The sequence below is a fragment of the Homo sapiens genome, chromosome 11 (assembly GCF_000001405.40).
Source record: "Homo sapiens chromosome 11, GRCh38.p14 Primary Assembly".
Lineage (NCBI taxonomy): Eukaryota > Metazoa > Chordata > Mammalia > Primates > Hominidae > Homo > Homo sapiens.
The window spans coordinates 121,358,839-121,375,282 of record NC_000011.10 but is presented as its reverse complement, the minus strand read 5'-3'; the positions used below and the strand labels follow the sequence as shown (position 1 = coordinate 121,375,282).

Genomic DNA, 16,444 nt, shown 5'->3' with positions numbered 1-16,444 from the left:
TGAAAATTCTATGAAAAGTCTGTCTGGGTGTAGTGATGACTCCAGTCTCTTCTCTTCTTAGGTGGTTGATCTTTGCTGGTCATTTGATGAGATTCCTAGGGAGAGGGTCTTAAAATTGCATTTCTTCTGGAAAGAAGCTTGCTTTCTTATTCAGATAAGGAAAGTCCAAAGAGAGAGAGAGAGAGTCTCTCCCTGTACCCAGTGAAGGATTTGGGAAACAGTGGACAATAAGACAAGGTTAGAGGAACCTTGATTCTGAGGCAGCTTCAAAGGCCTCTCAGCATGTAAAAGTGCCAGTCTTTGGTGTATTGCTTTCTGAGCTCCAACACTGACGAACTAGGCTTTTAAATTTCACTTTTTTTATTCTAAGATAACTTTACAAAAGCAAAAATCACTAAGAAAAAAGTTGACCTCTCAAGGGAAGTAAAATATGTTTAGTTTCTTGGCTTTTCAGATTACTTTGCTTCCTCTTTAAGATCATGGGCAAGAGAAATCCAAGACAGAGCCTGGTTATTGTACACCATACATATTGTGAAAGGAAAATAAATCTTGTGACCTCAAACTCACTAAGCCAAAGGGAAAAGTCAAGCTGGGAACTGGGTCATGCAAACCTGCCTCCCATTTTGGTTCCCAAATACAATGGCTACAAAATGAAAAGCTACACCCCTCCCTCATATTTTGCCCACAAGGAAATTCCTTGTGGGCCCCAAGCTCTTTACCCCAAAGCATTTCTGTTAAAATTCACCAGTGCAATGCAAATTGATGGCTTATCTTCACAGGTGCAGGGCCACATAGGACAGAACTCAAGTCATCCCTCTGCCTACCTGACACAAAGGCAGATCTGATTATTTCCTCTGCCCTATTGTCTATATCATCTTATGTAAAAATGCAGATTCACTGAGCCAGACAAAGGCATGAATGACTATTTTCCCCCTACCCCCCTCTTACATGAAAATTGTGTATTTCTCAATATCCCGTCCTTTCCCTTTTAAATTTGAAGCCCTCAGAATTATCTTCAGAGAAAGACATAGGCCTGTCTCCAGAGTGTGAGTCCTTACCTTTGGCAAATAAACCTCCTAAAATGAGTGAGACCTGTCTTGTCGTGTTTCTCGATTGACATCTGGTAACAACGGAGGGATCCTGAGTAAAGGTGGCCCAGGCCTGCGGCTGCCCTCCTGTCAGTACTTGGTACTGGCTTGGGCTCTTTATAGCTCACACCGATAGGACAATTTGCCAAGGTCTAGGGCCTCTTTCCTGCAGGGATCCCTGACCTCCCAACATTTTTAGTTGGGTGTCTGAGGTTAATTTGCTGTTAGGGAAAACTCCTTTTTGCTGGGAGTTTCCACTTGCTTCTCTCACGGAAGGTGGGCTTGTCTGCTTCTGCATTGGCAGAGAGCGGTCTTCAGCTTGGGCCCCATCAGTAGGTAAGGAGCTGAGTTGGGATTCTGTTTTGCAAATTCTCTTTAATGACTAAAGTTAGTGTTAACAACCAGCTGGTCTTAATTTCTCCTTACATTTAGAGCACTCAGAAATGTATAATTTGTGTGATCGTTGTTTTGCTTAGCTGTTTTGTTTGTTTGTTTTCTGTCTTATTCGGGGGTTTTTCTGTATGTTTTCATCCTTCTCTTATTAGATTTGACCAACTCGAAGCCCCTCTCGCTTATGAGTGTGGAATTTTCCACTCCAAAGAAATAAGAGCACCATGCTCCCCTCAGCCTTTCAGGGCATTTTCAGGCAACTGAGAATCATATGAGAGGGTCTCGGGGGAACGCTCCCTAAGACGTGCAGCGGCTCTGAGTAGGTTACCCCCTCAGAAGAACACACTTCGAGCCTAATCTCAGCTGGCAGGTGCATATACGGAGCTGACCCCTCCCGCACCTTGAGCCCCGACACACTGTGCCACACAGCCATGACACAGGTGGATCGAATTGGTTCAGGGAGTAACAGCCCTGAAAAGCTAGGTCTGCAAGCAGAACACCCTGGGTCTGACACTTCCTGACTTGGTAAATCTGAAAAAGAAAGTAAATTATGGGGAACAAGACCTCTAGGTTGGCTAAAACCCAGCAGCTGTGCAACATAAAGCTCCACCTTTAGAAACTCCAGCCGGGTACCTGCAAAATACTTATGGCGAGTTGTCATGCAAATGTTTAACCAAGTGGACCCTTATAACCAAAGCAGACTCCAAGTTACCATGGCCTAGATGGGGATCTTTTGAGATGCACAAATTAGCATACCTGTGAACTAGGATGGAAAACACAGGCACAAAAACAACCAGGATGGGAGAGCTACTTTCAGTGGTACCTGGAGAGTAGCAAAGGCGGGGAAGATCACCTCACCTCCTCACAGGAGGCCAACAAACAACTCAGAAGTGCTAACCAAAGACTCTCTAATGTTTTATCTCTTTTAAAGGAATCCTCTAAATCCCTTCCTTTCCTCTTGGAGATCCCCCACCTCCCCCTCTACCCTGACCTCTCTGAACTTCCTGAACCAGATCTGTTCCCTCCTTCTCCTGCATGTTCCAGTCCACCATCCCCCCACTTCCTTGTCTGCCACTCACTCAACAGAAGGTAGTAGGGGGTCTAACTCCCAAGACCCTACTTACTATGGGTTCCCTAGTAACCCTGGTGGCAGCCTCTCATCTGGAAGATGTGGAGAAGGAGGACACTGTAGGGTTCCTGCAGTTTTTGTGCTTCATTTATCATCTTTTTTTTAAGAAAAAAAAAAAAAAAACAAGATTCAGTAAAGAATTCCTTTCACAGCACACAGCCTGAAGATAGGGTTCCAGGTATATGCTGCAGCCTGGAGACTTTGTCTACTGGAAAAGACATTTAATGAAGGACTCCCTTCAACCCCAGTGGAATGGCCATACCAGGTACTATTGGCCAATCCATGTAGCACAAAATTAGAGGGTATAGACTCATGGATTCACATCTCTCATCTTAAAAAAGGCACAACCTCCTGAGTGGACAGTGACTCCCGCCAAGGATCTTTGCCTTCGACTCACTAAACATTGAACTTTGACTCAGGACTAGAAGCAGATGACAGCTGTTGTGGACTGCTTAAACCCAAGACACAGGGCCAGGCCTGTATACAAAAGAACACCTGTGCTTATTTTATAATAGCTATTATGACTATTGTCCTAGAGATACTGGCAACTGCTGTCTTACACAGAACAAGGCACTTGCCTTGTCTGACTTAATGTCCTTTTAGTAGCTAAAATCAATTTCACAACCTTGCTTTTATTTCTCCTATGTCACTACGCCTTCTTGCCACTGCCACCCACTGTCACCCATGAAACAAACCTGTTTCTGCAATGGGCTCAGGATTATGCATACAGATTACAAAAGGAGGCCTGCTGGATATGCGGACTCATGCCTCTTTCCAGGGGCTCCAGCCTGCCATGGCGGATATCTGTCTTCCAATGGCAGAACTGGATAAAATATCAAAAATGTATTACATCACAGAAACAGTCTGGTATCCTTAGTGCTGGCATAACAAAAGACAATATAAGTAACTGACCCATTAAAAACACTATTAAGAGCAAGAGACAGGGGAAATGTTTTTTAATGGAAAGGATCAGCTCACTAACTCTCACTTTAGCATCTCCCCAGCTAAAAGAGAAGGTGACAACTATGCCCCAAACAATGGCTCATTTTCAAAATGGGATAATGAAAATTTGGGATGGGACTCTGTGGCTCACCCCTTCATTAGGTCAGCTTAGCCGAAATGCTCCTTTATGTTGGGAACAAGGAAAACACACCAACGACCAATGGCCAAACAGTAGAAGAGATATGGGGTGGATACCTGGAGAACATTGTGACCACATTATTATATGACAAGACACAGACTGGCATGCCACCAATTGGGTACGGCAACCAGGTATTTATTGGCTACCTCCAAATGGGACATAAGGGTTATGTGGCACTAACATGGCTGTGGTTACCTCCAGGATGTTATGATGAAGTTCACTAGGTGGTTATACTTGCACACAAGGATGAATAATTCAGACCCTACCAAAACCAGCAAATCTTTTTCATTTACAATCCTGCTGGACACATTCGGTATTCCAATGGTATGATCACTTAGCTTCAATCTTTGTACCACAAATAGGTATTGAAGATGTTATATGGTATATAGAGGCCTAATACGGTTTGACTGTGTGTCCCAACCCAAATCTCATGTTGAATTGTAATCTCCACGTGTTGGAGGAGGGGCCACGTGGGAGGTGAATGAATCATGGGGGAGGTTTTCCCCTTTGCTATTCTCGTGATAGTGAATGAGCTCTCATGAGATCTGGTTGTTTCGAAAATGGATAGTGCCCTACTCTTCTTTGTTGTCTCTCTCCTGATACCATGTGAAGAAGGTGCTTGCTTCCCCTTCGCACTTCTGCCATGATTGTAAGTTTCCTAAGGCTTCCCCAGCCATGCTTCCTGTACAGCCTGCAGAACTGTGAGTCAATTAAACCTCTTTTCTTCATAAATGACCCAGTCTCAGGTAGTTCTTTATAGGAGTTTGAGAATGGACTAATACAAGGCCCTAACAAGTTACACCCAAAAGGCCCTAAATGACAGCTGCATGAGTATCTCTTTGCTAAAAAAAAAATGAGGTCTTATGACGAAAGTTCCTTATGAGTTCCTTATGAGGAAAGCTGTGCGGCCAAATTGTATGGCCTTAGACATACTCACTGCAGCCCAAGGTGGGACCTGCACCATTATAAAAACCGAATGTTGTGTTTATATTCCAGACAAATCAAATAACATAACCCGACTTATGACCGATATAAAAACCCAGATAACTAACCTGTCAGATCCAAAACCCTCACTTATTGATTGATAGGTTGGCTGGTTTGGGTCCTGGGGAACTTGGTGACAGAAGCTATTGCCTGTAATGAGAATAATTTGGGTTTTGTCCTGTTTTTGCTTACAATGGTGTTATGGTATGTGCGTGCAAATAAGTCAACATGCAACCAAAAGAGCTAGAGTAATGATTGCTCAAAGAATTGCTCTAATTAAGGAGGCAGTAGTATAGCCTGAACCAGCTTCCAGGTTTGCTACCCCTTCGTTGCTATATATCTGGCCTAGGTCCCTATATTTTTCTTTCCATTTCCATCTTTCCTCCCCCTATTTTTATCCTCATGGGACACGACTTCCCAGGAATGAGTCTTCCTAGCAATGCGGGACATGACTTCCTAGGAAGGAGCCTTCCTAGCAACATAGGACCTGAATTTGTAGGAGTAAACCATCCTAGTGATGAGGAACCAGCTCAAAAAATAAAGAAAAAGGGAAAAGCAACCTGAGATCAGAGACACATTTTCCTTCTAAAAATGCTTTCTCCAAAAGATTTTAAAGAAAAGCTGGGGGTGGAGGATGTGAAAGGAAAAGAAATCTTGTGACCTCAAACTCACTAAGCCAAAGGGAAAAATCAAGCTGAGAACTGGGCCATGAAAACCTGCCTCCCATTTTGGTTCCCAAATAAGATGACTACAAGATGAAAAGCTACACACCTCCTTCATACTTTGCCCACAGGGAAATTCCTTGTGGCCTCCAAGATCTTCACCCCAAAGCATTTCTGTTAAAATTCACCAGGACAATGCAAATCGATGGCTTATCTTCACAGGTGCAGGGCCACATAGGACGGAACTCAAAGTCATCCTTTCTGCCCACCTGACACAAAGGCAGATCTGATCGTTTCCTCTGCCTTATTATCTATGTTATTTTATGTAAAAATGCAGATTCACTGAGCAAGACAAAGGCATGAATGACTATTTTCCCCCACCCCCCTCCTACATGAAAATTGTGTATTTCTCAATATCCTGCCCTTTCTCCTTTAAATTTGAAGCCCTCAGAATTATCTTCAGAGAAAAGGCATAGACCTGTCTCCAGAGTGTGAGTCCTTAACTTTGGCAAATAAACTTCCCAAAATGATTGACGCTTGTCTCGTCATTTGCCTCGATTGATAATTACCCACTGAGATAAATGCCTGTGATGCCTTAAGGTGCTCAGAACACAGAGTAAGTCTAGGATCTTAATGTCAGCATTGTGGTTTAGGGGAAAATAAAAGGTTGCTGTTCATACAGAGTGGTCTCTCATATATGCCTCGGGATTAAACTGCAATTCACAGAAAACCCTAACAATCTTGCTTTCTGAACGCTTTTTGAAAATATGCAGTGAATTGCCAAGACCAGGATGTTCTTCATCAAGGACTTCCGAGGAGATAAGATTTAATTTGCTTTTTTGTTGGTCTTCTTGGGGCGGGTGAACTCCAGGGAGTGATGTGTGTTTTCTGTAAAGTCAGCAAGCTATTGTTGAACAGAATTTCTGCAGATATTGTCAGTGGGAACATAATTTGGGTCAATGAATCATAAATTCTATTTTGGTAATTTGCCGAAGACAACATTGAAAACAGAGCTAGCCCAACGGGGAAAACTGGAAAGAGACACACAGCTCAATAGCATGGCAATAGGGCAGAGGGGGAAAGAAGTGAGACATTCTGCCTAACAGACTGCAGACTTCTCTTCAAATGATTAGCCACCAAGCAGGTTGGATTTTTTTTTTCCTTCCAAGTCCTGGGAACGACGGCAAAGCAGTTAACACAGACTGCACAGTCACAAACCAACAGAAACATGACACTTGAGGTAAGTCCCCTAAGATTCTCAGATAACTACCTCTGTTCAGTTCATCAACCCACAAACAATCCAAACTTGTCTCTTGGAAAAAATTCCCAGACCTTCAATGCAACAGCCTTGTGCTGCTCACATTGTTCTAGTTTCTGTAGGTTACAGAAAACAGTCAGCTCACACACTGGCTTCATCTTTCCTTCCTTTTGGTTCAGGAAATTCAGGTGCAGCTATTGGTGGTGGGAGGTGGATGGAGGAGCAGTGAAAATGAATGCAAATGAGGATGATTTTTTCATTAGATGTGGCTTTTCCTTAATACAATTTTATTCAACTTTATAAATGAAGAAACTGGAGATGAACAACAGTAACAAATAACCCCAAGTCTCCATTATTCATTCCAGGAATTAAATCTAGGACCTTCAACTCAGATGCCCTTTTGTTTAGCTCCTCAGGATACTGGAGGGAGAGAAAAATTTTACCTGAGCGTTTACTCAAAACCAAGGTCAGACAATGCTGTATTTACCTCTATCACCATCCTCTGCTCAGTCCTCAAGAGCTTTGTGCAAGTGAGAACAGCTGTCCTTTGTTTTAAACAAGGACAAGCAAGACAACTGAAGTTTAATTGCAACAGGATGCATTTGGATTAAGTGTGGGAAAAAAAAAATTGTTGGATTCCAAGTATTGTGAGACCAAGGAATGAATTACAGGGGAGAGTGACAACATTTTTTTTTTCTAAAGATTTTGGGGACAGCTCTGTTTCTGGAATGTCCGAAGATAGTCCATCCAATAGGACCAATTACCAGAATCCAGCCCCCAGAGCCTACCATTTCTATACTCATTCTTCTGGCTAATAAAGGGGGTTCTGCTTCACGCCCTCAGTACAGGTCTTTCAGCCATGACGACCAAGGCAGACCATTCTGGTTTCAGCTGGAGTGTTTCTGTTCTCATGAGACACCAGTCCACAGGGGTTCTCTGTCTCACATGTGGAAGGGAAAGTGAAAGTAGCTTCTTTTAAAATGAACAGTTACCTCCTTCTCATTGGCAAAAGGCCACTTAAATTTCCCAAGGGGGACAGAAAACCATCTTGCAAAGTTTAGAAGATATTCGTAGCAGCTGACCCGCAGCAATGTCCTAAAGCTGGGCTTTCAGAATCACTGGGTACTTGGCTCCATTCCAGTCTAATTAAGTCTCAAGGCTTGGGTAGTAGGACCCAGGCATTGATATTTTCGAAAAAGCTTCTCAGTTAACTTGAAAATGCTTCCAGGGTTGAGAAGCACCATTCTGAGTACAGTTGATATGCACCATCCTCTTTCAGAGCTTTTTAGGAGTTCAAATTTGGCTAGACCAAGGGAAGGACAGTACAAAGTGTCTACTTATATGAACTGTTCCAGTTGACTGCCATTTGATTGATGTGTTGGAGGATTAGGGCCCCAGCCATCCTATTAAGAAAGCAAGTGGACCACTGCCTGGCTGTGAGCCTGGAGGAAGCCACTTCAACGGCTTTGTTTCAAGAGCCAGGGAAGACAGAACCCGAGAGCTGTGTCTTGAAGGCTTCCTGCAGGGAGTGGGAGCTATGATTTTATTGCTAGAGAAAGAGTCTCCAAGCTGTTGATGGATTACAAGCTGCTGATCCGTCTCCAGCCCTCAGAGGGCAGAATGTGGAGAATTCCAAAACACAACATAACAGTTGCCTCTGGTACAAAGAAGACGCAGTAATTTGTGGAGGCCGCGTGGCTAAGAATGTAAAGGCAACCAAGCACTGGGGTTAAGAATTAGGAATCTGGATTTGAACCACCCTAGGTTCACATCCTACCACTTACTAGCTATGTGCCTTTAGGTATATTAATTAATTTGGGCTTCACTCTCTTATCTGTAAAATGAGGATAATAATAGTAATTACCTCATTTAATTGCGATGATTCAGTAAAATAATGGACGCTAACACTTATTTAAATATATAATGCATTCAGTAAGACTTGCCTGTATGTGTTTTGTTGGGGCAGAAGCTGCAATGGAGTCTGTGCTGATGAGGGTAGGAGTGGAGAAGGTGTTTCCTCGTCACCAGGGCAGCGGCATTGGAGATCTAGGACGAGCTAGGAGGGAAAGGTGTTCTCCACGACGCCAGGCTTGTACTGACAGGATTCTCTCAAAGTTGAGGTACCCAGTTGCTGGGTACAACCCCAGCACTTGGTAGGGAAGGAGAGCAGCTCTCATCCCAGGCTGTGCAGCCTGCGTCCGCTTAACCTTTAAAGCAAGTGAAGTTGTCACCTGGGTCTTTGTCCTCCTCATCATCCCTAGAGATTCTGAGTAAGAAAGTCTGGGGTGGACCCAAGGAATCTGTATTTTCTTAAGAGTTCTCAGGATGATTTAGCAGCATGGGCAGGGTTGAGAAGCATGGTGCAGTCTGCTCAGTGCAATTAAAAGGGTCATGAACACTCCTCTGCCCGACCTTGTTGGCGCACTGTATATTATTTTACTGCCAGAGATCATCAGCCCTGCAATTCCACTAAACGGGCATTTGTTTCAATTAACAAGTGGTCTCTTTAAAATGCACTTGATGTGAAACCCTACAGTTCTAGCACTTAAGATCAAATTCAGCAAGTGTTCAGAATTCTGAAGAGAGAGAAGGGCAGGAGGTGATTTGGGGACAGGGGGTGATGTGGGTACAGCAGACCTGGTCAGGGACTGAGAAGAGGGAGCTTTTGGCAACATGAAAGAAGAGGCCTTATGGCAGATAAGCAGAGGAAGTACACCAAGAAGTGGAAGAGGGACCCAGAATGAAAGGATTGACAATTCCAAAGACAAGGAAGGTGTTTTTAAAACCAGCTAGATACTGCCTTTCAACTGCCGTTTACAGAGCTCCTACTGGATGGCAGGCATTGGGCCAAGCATTTTTAACGCCAATTTGATCTTCACAACTGTTCAGCGGCCAAGTTATTGCTATTTCTACCTTACTAATGAGGAAGCTGAAGTTCAGCTACCTCATCCAATGGAGCAGACAGGTGACATTACATCCCTGTGTCTTACGGAGTGGAGGTGAGATTGGGTGTGAGGGGCAAGAGCCAGCATCTTTGGAGAAAAGCTCTGGCTGGCGACCAGGCCTCCTGTCATCTTCAGTCCTTTGTTTTCCCAGACCCGTCCCACTGCAAGCATGTTCAGCCCATCCTGTTCCTAAGGATGGAGGGTGAGAACTAACCCCAACTGAGCTACCATCTGCTCAGCCCTGTGTTCAGAGATTGTCAGGGCAGGGAGTGAGCTAGATCTTGTCTTCTCAACTCCCAACCAGCAGAAATAGCAAACATCTTTGGAGATTCCCTTTATTTGGCTTCTGGTTCTCACTGCTAAGCATCGCTATTAAATCTCAGGACCCTTTCCTGTGCAGGCATGTCTGCCTCAGACGCTATCTATCTCAGTATATCAATTCCTAACAACCAGGTGTGGTTGGCACCTAAGTTGAGACCTGTGAACTGTTCCTACCTAGTCTACATCCTTGGACTAGTTGCCCCTGATACCGATGTCTTGTCTTGAACCTCCACAGACATGGCTGGGCTCCTGATGCCACATCTTGTTCCCTTTAGCTGAGCCCTGCCGCCGAAGTTGGTCTGTATCCTCTATACTGCTGCTGTTCCAATGGACTCATCACTTATAGACTTAAATATCATTGCTCTTTCAGCTTAAATTTAGTGTTTCCTGGAACTTCTTTCTTCAGTCCCCTACCTACTAGATTTAATCTCTTGGGATACCAGTGTGGCCCGAGTCAACCCCAGGTGTGATGGTTAACACTGAATGTCAACTTGATTGAAGGGTGCAAAGTATTGATTTGGGGTGTGTCTGTGAGGGTGGTGCCAAAGGAGATTAACATTTGAGTCAGTGGGCTGGGAAAGGCAGACCCACCTTTAATCTGGGTGGGCACAATCTAATCAGCTGCCAGCACAGCCAGAATAAAAGCAGGTAGAAGAACGTGAAAAGACTGACTAGCTTAGCCTCCCAGCCTACATCTTTCTCCTATGCTGGATGCTTCCTGCCCTTGAACATCAGACTCCAAGTTCTTCAGCTTTGGGACTCGAACTGGCTTCCTTGCTTTTCAGCTTGCTCTTTAGCTCAGCCTATTATGGGACCTTCTGATCATGTGAGTTAATACTCCTTAATAAACTCCCCTTCATATATATCTGTATATATATATTTCCTATTAGTTCTGTCCCTCTAGAGAACCTTAATTCTTTTTAGTTCCTCCTTCATTTATTCACTCATATTGACTGAGCCTTTCTTATGCCTATGGCACTCAACATGCAGTCAGCTAGAGTCTGGGAATATATGCTGAATAAAACAATCCCACATCCATGGAACTTTGAGTATAAATGCCTAGAGCAGACAGCAGAGGTACCTAATTTCAAGGATCATGGACGTTCTCAGAGGAAGTGCATTTAAGCTGAGACTTAACGAAAAGTTTAGCCAGACAAAGATGGAGAGAAAGAAGATTCAGGGCATAAAGAGAAGTACATGTGATGACTGACCTCAACATGAGGGGTGACCTACTGGGAATTAGGAGAGGTTTAATAGGGCTAGGGTATTGAGCATGCATGGTATGTTACTTTTCTTGATGCTTGCATCATGTTGGTATATCTAGCTGTCTCTCTTTCCTCACTAGCCTATGAGCCCTGTAAAGGCTACGTCTGTCTTTTTATCTTTATATTCTCAGAGGCCAGCCCAGGAGCAGACACACAGCAAATGTTCAATAAATGCTTGCTGCACTGAACTATGTGGAACCAGTAGCCCCCACCTTGGCCTTGTCTGGTGCCTCGTCCATTATTCTTACTTTAAAGATGACAAGGCTGAGGCAGTCAGGTTCCAAACTTCATGCTCTTACCCACCATGTTATGCTGCCTTCCTAGTGAACAAGGATTATTGTAGCAGAATGGAAAGAAAGTAGTCTTGAAACGGAAATATCCTGGCCTTGACACTTATTAATTGAGTGGTCTTGAGCAGGTTACTCAACTTCTCTGAGCCTTGGTTTCCTTACCTGTAAAAGAGGTATAATTCCTAACACACTGTAATGAGTAAATAAGGAAAAGCAGACGCTTTCATACCTCTGACTTTTTCGTAGACCATGAAAATTTGTCCCTAAATATGTGTTTCTGCTTATTTCTTCTGGCCTTACCCAGGCTCTATCAGCCTGAAGGCCCCTGGAAACCTAGGCCAGGACCCTCAAAGGCCACAGGTCTGAAAGCTCTTGAAAGTTTCTGGAGGACCAGTGAGGTCTCAGAACTGATGCTATTCCAAAGCTCCTGCACTCTTCTGAGTCCTCCAAGAAGCAGAGGCCAAGATGGAATTAAACATGCAAGGAATTTATTAATTAAGAGAAGTGGGCAGAGATTGGAATCCGCCTTCCGGGCTTGGCGAAGAAGGGAGGAGGCAGGAGCGAGGAGGGAGGAGGGCCAAGGGCGGGCAGGAAGGCTTAGGCTCGGCGCGTCCGTCCGCGCGCGGCGAAGATCGCACGGCCCGATCGAGGCGCGACCGGGTCGGGGCCGCTGCACGCCAAGGGCGAAGGCCGATCCGGGCCCCGCTTCGCCCCGGCGGCTCGCCGCGCCCACCCGCTCCGCGCCGAGGGCTGGAGGATGCGTTCCCTGGGGTCCGGACTTATGAAAATATGCATCAGTTTAATACTGTCTTGGAATTCACGAGATGGAAGCATAGATCAAAGCTGTTTGGAGAAAATCGGAAGTACAGTTTTATCTAGCCACATCTTGGAGACATTATTGCAAGAGCATCTCAAGCAGACGTCGTTACAATCGTGATTTGGAACGGATGAAGCATTTATTCCAGTTGGAGAATCACTAAAAGACCTTATTGACCAGTCACAAAGTTCTGGTAGTGGGTCTGGACTACCTTTATTGGTTCAGCGAACTATTGCCAAACAGATTCAGATGGTCCGGCAAGTTGGTAAAGGCCGATATGGAGAAGTATGGATGGGCAAATGGCGTGGCGAAAAAGTGGCGGTGAAAGTATTCTTTACCACTGAAGAAGCCAGCTGGTTTCGAGAAACAGAAATCTACCAAACTGTGCTAATGCGCCATGAAAACATACTTGGTTTCATAGCAGCAGACATTAAAGGTACAGGTTCCTGGACTCAGCTCTATTTGATTACTGATTACCATGAAAATGGATCTCTCTATGACTTCCTGAAATGTGCTACACTGGACACCAGAGCCCTGCTTAAATCGGCTTATTCAGCTGCCTGTGGTCTGTGCCACCTGCACACAGAAATTTATGGCACCCAAGGAAAGCCCGCAATTGCTCATCGAGACCTAAAGAGCAAAAACATCCTCATCAAGAAAAATGGGAGTTGCTGCATTGCTGACCTGGGCCTTGCTGTTAAATTCAACAGTGACACAAATGAAGTTGATGTGCCCTTGAATACCAGGGTGGGCACCAAACGCTATATGGCTCCAGAAGTGCTGGACGAAAGCCTGAACAAAAACCACTTCCAGCCCTACATCATGGCTGACATCTACAGCTTCGGCCTAATCATTTGGGAGATGGCTCGTCGTTGTATCACAGGAGGGATTGTGGAAGAGTACCAATTGCCATATTACAACATGGTACCGAGTGATCCGTCATACGAAGATATGCGTGAGGTTGTGTGTGTCAAACGTTTGCGGCCAATTGTGTCTAATCGGTGGAACAGTGATGAATGTCTACGAGCAGTTTTGAAGCTAATGTCAGAATGCTGGGCCCACAATCCAGCCTCCAGACTCACAGCGTTGAGAATTAAGAAGATGCTTGCCAAGATGGTTGAATCCCAAGATGTAAAAATCTGATGGTTAAACCATCGGAGGAGAAACTCTAGACTGCAAGAACTGTTTTTACCCATGGCATGGGTGGAATTAGAGTGGAATAAGGATGTTAACTTGGTTCTCAGACTCTCTCTTCACTACGTGTTCACAGGCTGCTAATATTAAACCTTTCAGTACTCTTATTAGGATACAAGCTGGGAACTTCTAAACACTTCATTCTTTATATATGGACAGCTTTATTTTAAATGTGGTTTTTGATGCCTTTTTTTAAATGGGTTTTTATGAACTGCATCAAGACTTCAATCCTGATTAGTGTCTCCAGTCAAGCTCTGGGTACTGAATTGCCTGTTCATAAAACGGTGCTTTCTGTGAAAGCCTTAAGAAGATAAATGAGTGCAGCAGAGATGGAGAAATAGACTTTGCCTTTTACCTGAGACATTCAGTTCCTTTGTATTCTACCTTTGTAAAACAGCCTATAGATGATGATGTGTTTGGGATACTGCCTAGTTTATGATAGTTTGTCCTGTCTCCTTAGTGATGTGTGTGTGTCTCCATGCACATGCACGCCAGGATTCCTCTGCTGCCATTTGAATTAGAAGAAAATAATTTATATGCATGCACAGGAAGATATTGGTGGCTGGTGGTTTTGTGCTTTAAAAATGCAATATCTGACCAAGATTCGCCAATCTCATACAAGCCATTTACTTTGCAAGTGAGATAGCTTCCCCACCAGCTTTATTTTTTAACATGAAAGCTGATGCCAAGGCCAAAAGAAGTTTAAAGCATCTGTAAATTTGGACTGTTTTCCTTCAACCACCATTTTTTTTTGTGGTTATTATTTTTGTCACGGAAAACATCCTCTCCAAAGTTGGAGCTTCTATTGCCATGAACCATGCTTACAAAGAAAGCACTTCTTATTGAAATGAATTCCTGCATTTGATAGCAATGTAAGTGCCTATAACCATGTTCTGTATTCTTTATTCTCAGTAACTTTTAAAAGGGAAGTTATTTATATTTTGTGTATAATGTGCTTTATTTGCAAATCACCCACTCCTTTACAACCATACTTTATATATGTACATACATTCATACTGTAGAAACCAGCTCATGTGTACCTCATATCCCATCCTTAAGGGAAGAAATGTTATAAAGTAGAACTAAATATAAATTTTCAGAATTAATGCATTCAAAGTAATATATCAAATCCAGGACTTTGTTAACTTCAGGCAAAAACTTCATTAGGGTAATATCATCTCAATTTTTTCAAATGAAAGGATTCTCTAATTAGAAATTTATATGTCAGAGCTGTTCTAAATTTATCAACTGTCAAATATGTTTTGGACAGCTAAATCATTTGAGATTTTTGGTTTTTTGATTTCTATTCCCTAACTTGTGAAGACAATGAAAAATCAGGCAGAAATATTTAGTATCTAGTCAGTATCTGTAGCTACACTGTATAACTGTTCTTCAATAAAATGGTTCATATTTAAAAAAAAAAAAAAAAAGAGAGAGAAGTGGCTGGGCATAGTGGCTCATGCCTGTAATCCCAGCACTTTGGGAGGCCGAGGCGGGCAGATTGCTTGAGCCCAGGATTTTGAGACCAGCCTAGGCAACATGGTGAAACCCTGTCTCTACAAAAAATACAAAAATTAGGCGGACATGATGGTGCATGCCTGTGGTCCCAGCTATTTGGGAGGCTGAAGTGAGAGGATTGCTTGAACCTGAGAGGCCCCAGCTGCAGTGAGCCATGACCACACCACTGCACTGCAGTCTGGGTGATGGCGGAGGTTCTGTCTAAAAAAAAAACCTAGGGAGGGGAGAAGTGCCTGTAGGGGAGAAAATGGAGAGAAAGCTAGGAAGCACTAGCTTTGGAGCTGGCAGATCCCAGTGTGAGTCTGACCAGAAATTGGAAGGTTGAGGGAGGCACCCTAGACATCCATGCAGTCAAAGGAAGATTTGGAAAGACTGTCAGGGGGTCCCTTGAACCAACATTTCTAGAGGACTATTGTGCCTTTCAGGATCTGTCTTACCAGCCCCACCCCTCAGTCATCAGCAGGGAGCAGCTTGTGGGAGGCATGTCCTCTTTGCATTGCCAGATTTCAGAACACAGCAGCTGGGGCTCTGGTCAGTTATGCTCAGTGTCCCTCCTATATCTAAGTGAGAGGTGACAGAGAAAAGATATATCTCCTTATTCCAGTACTTTTCTTCCAGCTAGGAAGCTTCTTTAAAGCAAAACATTGTGGATGATTTGGCTTTATCTTTGAGCAATTCCATCTTTCACATTATAACACTCCATATTCATATCTCAGAATTCTAGGATCTCAGAGTTATAATTTTAATTTCCTCTGCAATACCTCTGTGAAGGGGAGTCCATGGCAGACCAAGAGTCAGTTAGTTTCACTCTGGCTGGGGATGAAGAGATGGGGTTATCAGTGTCCTGGACAAGTGGCCTTCATTCCAATCTTGCCTGCAGGCTGCTGTTTTCTTCCTCTTCTGAGGGGTCGGCAGTTGCCTGATGACATACTTTCTGCATCATTGTCCACCAGTGTTACCCAACTGAGCTGTGCAACAGAATTATCCAAGGAGCTTTTTAATAATGCACATCTACAGGTCTATTTAATTGGATCTCCAGGGATGGGACGCAGAAATCCGCATCTCCAACAAGCTCGTAGATGATTCTCATGGTCAGTCGGGTGTGGAAACCATGATGAGGTTCACAGAAACTTCTGTAAAGGAAGACTGTGCAGATAAGAGGGATTTACCAGTGGCATATGGATCCCCAACCATGTTTTGTTCCCTACCTGGGAACTGCCCTACGTCTCAGCAGCCACCTACCCTACCTCCAGCTGTACAACTTTCCCAATTCAGATGTGTTTTTATGCAGTATTTCTCAACACATGGTTACAGAGTTGAATGGTTCTCTTTGTACAGAACTTGGCATCCTCAAAGGGAAGTAGTCTAGATGTGTTTCTTGCATGTTGTCAGAGGAATTTTACTAAAAACCTGGGTGTTCTGAAAGCTTATTAGCTTCCCTT

At 43.9% G+C, this 16,444-nt stretch overlaps 1 pseudogene, besides 4 other annotated features; it reads left to right on the top strand.

Moving 5' to 3' along the window:
- Positions 1,885-2,662: an enhancer, noted in NCBI's record as "OCT4-NANOG hESC enhancer chr11:121243330-121244107 (GRCh37/hg19 assembly coordinates)". NCBI's record gives its function as "activates a minimal SCP1, AML or CMV promoter by ChIP-STARR-seq in primed H9 embryonic stem cells {active_cell/tissue: H9 hESC(primed)}" and the evidence as "EXISTENCE:reporter gene assay evidence [ECO:0000049][PMID:30033119]".
- Positions 3,160-3,219: an enhancer, noted in NCBI's record as "active region_5646". NCBI's record gives its function as "activates an Ori minimal core promoter by ATAC-STARR-seq in GM12878 lymphoblastoid cells {active_cell/tissue: GM12878}" and the evidence as "EXISTENCE:reporter gene assay evidence [ECO:0000049][PMID:35858748]".
- Positions 7,588-7,687: an enhancer, noted in NCBI's record as "active region_5645". NCBI's record gives its function as "activates an Ori minimal core promoter by ATAC-STARR-seq in GM12878 lymphoblastoid cells {active_cell/tissue: GM12878}" and the evidence as "EXISTENCE:reporter gene assay evidence [ECO:0000049][PMID:35858748]".
- Positions 7,728-7,827: an enhancer, noted in NCBI's record as "active region_5644". NCBI's record gives its function as "activates an Ori minimal core promoter by ATAC-STARR-seq in GM12878 lymphoblastoid cells {active_cell/tissue: GM12878}" and the evidence as "EXISTENCE:reporter gene assay evidence [ECO:0000049][PMID:35858748]".
- BMPR1AP2 (bone morphogenetic protein receptor type 1A pseudogene 2) lies at positions 12,161-13,630 on the top strand (annotated as a pseudogene).
- The last annotated feature ends 2,814 nt before the right edge of the window (positions 13,631-16,444 follow it).